This window comes from Homo sapiens, chromosome 9 (genome assembly GCF_000001405.40).
Source record: "Homo sapiens chromosome 9, GRCh38.p14 Primary Assembly".
NCBI lineage: Eukaryota > Metazoa > Chordata > Mammalia > Primates > Hominidae > Homo > Homo sapiens.
The window spans coordinates 90,972,476-90,978,475 of NC_000009.12; the positions used below are offsets into that span (position 1 = coordinate 90,972,476).

At 48.2% G+C, this 6,000-nt stretch overlaps 1 annotated feature.

The window, feature by feature from the left end:
* Positions 3,754–4,254: an enhancer, noted in NCBI's record as "H3K4me1 hESC enhancer chr9:93738511-93739011 (GRCh37/hg19 assembly coordinates)". NCBI's record gives its function as "activates a minimal SCP1, AML or CMV promoter by ChIP-STARR-seq in naive H9 embryonic stem cells {active_cell/tissue: H9 hESC(naive)}" and the evidence as "EXISTENCE:reporter gene assay evidence [ECO:0000049][PMID:30033119]".

The window sequence follows — 6,000 nt, forward strand, 5'->3', positions numbered from 1 at the left end:
GTCTCCAAGCTCTGGAGGGGCAGAGCAGGACACAAAGCTGCATTACTCATGAGCCCACCCAGGAACTGTGGCTCCCTCTGGTCGGAGGGCTTGTCTCTGGGCAACTGGGTCCCCCTTTAACTGAACATATGTAGGCCACTTGTCTGAGCACAGGGGTAGCTAGACCTCAAAAAGTCTCATAAGCAAATGAAAATTATAGGGGTGAGAAGTGAGAAAGGAAGAATCACATTTCACACAACTGCTATAGAAATGCCAAGCCAGGAGAACGGCGTGAACCCGGGAGGTGGAGCTTGCCATGAGCCAAGATCGTGCTACTGCACTCCAGCATGGGCGACAGAGCAAGACTCCGTCTCAAAAAAAAAAAAAGAAAGAAAGAAAGAAAGAAATGCCAAGCAAGTTGTCTGCCTAAGCACGTGGCACATTTTTCAATAAATGGACAGACACAACCTTACATCCCCAGCCCCCGCCCTGTTCCAGGGAAGTGCTTGACTCTGTCCCCACTTCGTTAAACAGATCATTCTACCTCTTCAGATGGGCATGGAAAAATCCCTTTAGGAAGTCAGCTATCATATGAAAGTAGCAGCATGCATTCTTCTTTCATTTCTTTTCTTTTTTTTTTTTTTAGATAGTCTTACTCTGTCGCCAACGCTGGAGTGCAGTGACACAATCTTGGCTCACTGCAACCTCTGCCTCCAGGGCTCAAGTGACCCTCCCACCTCACCCTCTCGAGTAGCTAGGACTACGGGCACATGCCACCATGCTCAGCTACTTTTCAGTTTTTTTGTTTGTTTGTTTTTTGTTTTTTTAGAGATGGAGTCTCGCTCTGTCACCCAGGCTAGTGTGCAGTGAGGCCATCTCAGCTCACTGCAACCTCCGCCTCCCGGGTTCTAGCAATTCTCCAGCCTCAGCCTCCCGAGTAGCTGGGATTATAGGTGCATGCCACCACACCTGGCTAATTTTTTGTATTTTAGTAGAGACGGGGTTTCACCGTATTGCCCAGGCTGGTCTGGAACTCCGGAGCTCAGGCAATCCACCCGCCTCTGCCTCCCAAAGTGCTAGGATTACAGGCATGAGCCACCGCACCTGGCCTAATTTTCATATTTTTAGTAGAGACAAGGTTTCACCATGTTGGCCAGGCTGGTCTCAAACTCCTGACCTCAGGTGATCCGCCCACCTCGGCTCCCAAAGTGATGGGATTACAGGCTTGAGCCACCACTCCCGGCCCTCCTTTTATTTTTAGAAGTAAGCCTGCACTTACTCTTATAGCTAGAGGCGTTTCCTCTGCAAATAACTTAAAAACAAAACCAAAAATATCTCTGGTAAAAACATAAAACTTTTATTTCATTTTACTCCTTAGTATTTGAACTAGTTAATGGCCAGATCAGTTGATCCTTCTAATCTTTTCCTTATCTATACCTATAAAGAAATAATGCATCTAATTCTAACATTCCTAACCTGGGGTCCATGGATCTCCCAAAAGTCCATAGATGGAATTTGGGGGAGGACTATATGAGCATAGATGGGGAAAAATAAACTTTTATTTTCATCACCTCTAACAGAAATTTAGTGTTGACTTTGGCTAGGAATGTAGGCAAGAAACCACAGTGGGTTTAGCAGTGCTTGCAATGTTGTTGCCATAGAACTCCAGTCATCTTCATGGTACACTGCAGTTGTTGCAAACACAGATATGGTTGGGTTTCTTCCGACATACCATGTGTGTCATACACATTTTTTAATATTGTTGCGAGTCTTTTCTAGGCTTTACACCACCAAAGGTTCCCATTGCTCAAAAAGGTACGAATCAGTCAAGCTACAAGAGATCAGAAACACGGCTGAGTTAGGCAGGAAATATGTTTGCATTTCTGGAAACACCAGTTATGATGGAGCTTGTAGGGTGCGGTGTATTTTTCAAAGTATTTTTAGACTTTATTCTCATCACAAATCTTCCAGGGAGGCAAGGTAAACACAGGGCAGGTTTTATTCCTTCTCGGTGCTCTAAAGCACAGAGAGGTTTGGTGAGCTGACCAAGGTCACACAGCTGCTGATCAGTGAAGGGAGCGTTTGTCACCTTTACCCACGTTCTCTCAGCTGACATTTATCCCTCTCTTAGGTGAAGGTGAGAGGGGCTGTGTCCTTCTGTCTTTCTGTCTTTCATCTGCTCCCTTAATGGGAATCCAATCTTCTATTAAGTGCCTTGGATTGACAGATCCATCGCTTATTCAGTCCTCTAGCCTGCACCCCTGCCAGCCTGTCTTGCACCATCACAGCCTTGTGGCTTTTCTGGGAGAACCACGGCAGCCCATTTCACAAATGTAGCTGTGGAGTGGGCACCACTAAAAAGGGTGAGTGTGCCAATGAGGCAATGCCCAAAGGGGAAAGACTCAGGTGCTTGAGAAACAGGCTGGCCAAATGGGAGCGAAGAGAGATGAGAGACAGGAACAGGCAGCCACAGCCAGGGGAGAGAGAGCAGAGTGAGAAGAGGAGGACGCAGACAGGCCATGGGCAGCAGGAATGAGAGAACGCGGGAGGGGGGGAAAGTACGCAGGAGAGGCAGCAGGCAGTGAACTGAGGCCCTGAGAGCGGGGCCTGGCCTGGGGATTGCCTCGACTTGATGTATCTCTGGAGTAAACATCTTGCATCACAATCACAAATCCCACACATCTGTCAATGGTTCTTTCTATTTTCAGAGCAATTGTCTTCCTGTGTCTTCTCACAACAGGCTCCAGGACCAGGGAGACCTAGGCTCAAATCCCACCCACAGTCTCCAAGCCGCAGGGCCTGAGCCCCTCCACCTGGCTTCCCCATCTGCAAAGCCTCAGTCCCTCATACAACAAGGGCTGTGTGAAGGATGGAAGGAGCATCAATCCCCCAAGAGCACCCGGCTGCTTCGCCCCCTTATTATGCACAGGTGCCACCTTCTCAGCCTTCTCTGAGCAACATGCTGAATTTGCACCTTCCCTTATCACGACTCCCTCTCCCTCCACTGTTTTTCAGAGCATGTGACACCATCTGATGTCCTACATAGTAAACTCACTTATCTGTGTATTGAGAGGTGCCCACTCCCTACCCCTAAAGTTTGCGCTCCCAAGAGCAGAGATCTTGTCTTGCACTCCCCATTGCGTCGCTGCCCTGGGACCCGCCTGGCTCATGGCCCCCGCTGACCAGCATGTGTTGAAGGAACTGGTTAATGAATGCAGAGCATGGGGCGTACAGTGAACAGTTGCTGGTGCATTTGAAGGCTACAGACTCCAATGTCATCTGCGATTCCTGCTCTCAACATCAAACTTGGCACCAGACAGAGGAGGGAGCTTCCGGCCACAGCTTGCTTTCTTCATTTTGGTGGCCAGAACTCGCAGGGAATCTGAGAATTGGCCCCATCAGACAGGCCAGGGCCAGCCTGGATGAAGTGATGTTCCTGGGGGTGAACTCAGAGATCTGCCTGCACCTCTCCAGGCTCCGAGCTGTGTGCTATCATCCTGTTGCTGGCAGGTCACACTGGGCAGACATTTTTTTACGCAACCATTTTTGTGGTGGGCTCTCCTGCCTGGTATCTGGGACATCTGCCGGAAATCAGGCCCTGTCTGTGGGATTCCGCAGCCATCTCAGCTGGCGTCCTGCTGCCGTTGACTGAAGCCACAGCCTGGGCCTGCATCTCAGGCGAAGGGATAAAAAAGGCAGCGTGGTGTGGGCCATCAATCAACCCTGGGGTTTCCATCCAAGGTGAATCTCATGCAAAAATAAAATCAAAACCCCACGTCTAAAATATCCTCAGGGGGAGGCACACAGGAACTCTGCCTGCGGTGGGCCAGGCCGGGACCGCAGCATCTGGGATTCCTAATTATAGGGGAACCCGGGCTCAAATGCGTCCCATGTGAGCTGAGACATGCCTGCCTGCCAGGGTCTAACTGTCGCCTGCCACCGGCTTCCCTGCAGCAACCAGACAGAAACAGACTTCCCTGCGCCCCAACGAGCTCTCACTCACACCTGTAACGTGGTTTCTACCTTTCTCTTACGGATCAATTTCAGATCTCAAGTCAATTAGCACCCTACCTCTATTCTTAGATAAAGCCCATTTGACCTAAAGAATAATTTCTTTTTTAAGTTCTCAGGGCTGGTAAAAAACATTTTCACTAATATCCTTGAGGAAAAAAAAAATTTATTGACAAGTGTGTTGGGAAAGTCACATTTCTTTCCCACCTCTTCTGCCCAAGGAGCCTCTTTGTCTCTTCCTTTCACATTTTCTAGACCAAGGATGTGACCAGTGGACAGTGGGAGCCGCTGGAGGTGTCAAAACAGAGCAGTGAAGCCCCCAAGAGGGCTTCTAAAGGAGCAAGGATGCTGCGGGCCTGCTGGAGTGCCACAGAGGGAGGAAGAGCTCTCATTTATTTTGGGGACTCCTGAAGACTGAGACGATGGTGGGAACATTGATCTGGAGGGTGAGAGTTGACACCAGAGTAGGACAAAAACTCTCTAAGGAAGTGAAGGTTGAAAAACATTGGATCAAAACAGCCAATTACACTCACTCACTTAATTCCGTGCACCCCCAGAATCTCTGAGATAACAAGAGTTACTTACAAAAAATAAATCCGTAAAAAGCAGCAGAAGGTAAAAAACAGGACCATCAGGAAGCCAGGAAACAACAGCAATTCCTGTCGAATAGAAAGGAGAAAAGAACCACGTTGCTGAAGAAACAAAAGTAGAGACAACAGCAGCCTAAACATTCAGGGGCAGGGGGAGGAAGGGGAGGGCAGAGCAGTGACCCTAAGAGCAAGGCGGTGGAGCAGGGAGTCGTAGCCGGGTGAACTAGCCAGGGTTCTCCAGAGGAGCAGAACTGATAGGAGATACCTCCTGTTGGAGATGGGGGATAGGTTTTTATAAATCTCATATTGTAAGAATTGGCTTGCATGATTATGGAGGCCAAGAAATCCCACAATCTCCCTCCTGGAGGCTGGAGAACGAGGAAAGCCAGCATTAGAGTTCAGTGGTGGGATTCAGTTCAAGTCCAAAGGCCTGAGAACCAGGGGAACCAATGATGTTAGCTTCAGTCCAAGTCCAAGAGCACAAGAACCAGTAGCACCAGGGCCTGAGGGCAGGAGAAGATGGATGTTCCAGCTCAAGAAGCCCTTCCTCTGCCTTTTCGTCCTACTCAGGCCCTCTATGGATTGGATGAGACTAGCCCACCTTGGTGAAGATATCCTCTTTACTTAATCTACCAATTCACATGTAAATCTCTTCCCAAAACACTTTCAGACACGCCTATAAATAATGTTTACCAGATATTTGGGCATCACTTAGCCCCGTCAAATTGACACATAACATTACTCATCACATCAGGGTGGCTGGTCCAAGCAGTGGTGCCTTCTGCCCCAGCCTGCGGGCTGAGTGATAGGTGAAACAGAGATTCCCACCCCAGGCTCCAGAGGAGAACAGGGTCAGAGCACAGCAGAGCAGGAGGGCTCACCTAGGAGGTTCCCCTAGAAGGTAAGCCCCCAGTTCACCTCACCCACCCAAACAGCATTTCCACAACCACCAGAGTCCCATTCCTGAGATCCCAGCTCTCCTTGGGAGAAGAGCAGGGATTGTCAAACTAGCTGTTGAAAACTGAGGATAATTACTGCACATCGGAGAAAATGACATTAAGAAAAAGATGTGTCAATCCAGTAGACAAGCAAACAAAAAAAATACCCAAGAATGGAATTGATGAAAAGCAAAATATGTTAAAATTAGCCTCATCAATATCCTCAGAGAAGATTCAAGAGGGTATTTTATGGTCATCCCTCGGTACCCAAGTGGGACTGGTTGGTTAACAGACCCCGCAGGTGCCAAAATCTTCAGATGCTCAAGTCTCTGATATAAAATGGTATTGCTCTTGCATATAGCCTAGGCACATCCTCCTGTGTACTTTAAATCCCCTCTAAAACACTCATAATACCTCATAGAATGTAAATGCCATATGAAGTTGTCAGACTGTATTTTTAAAATTTTGTATTATTTTTTATT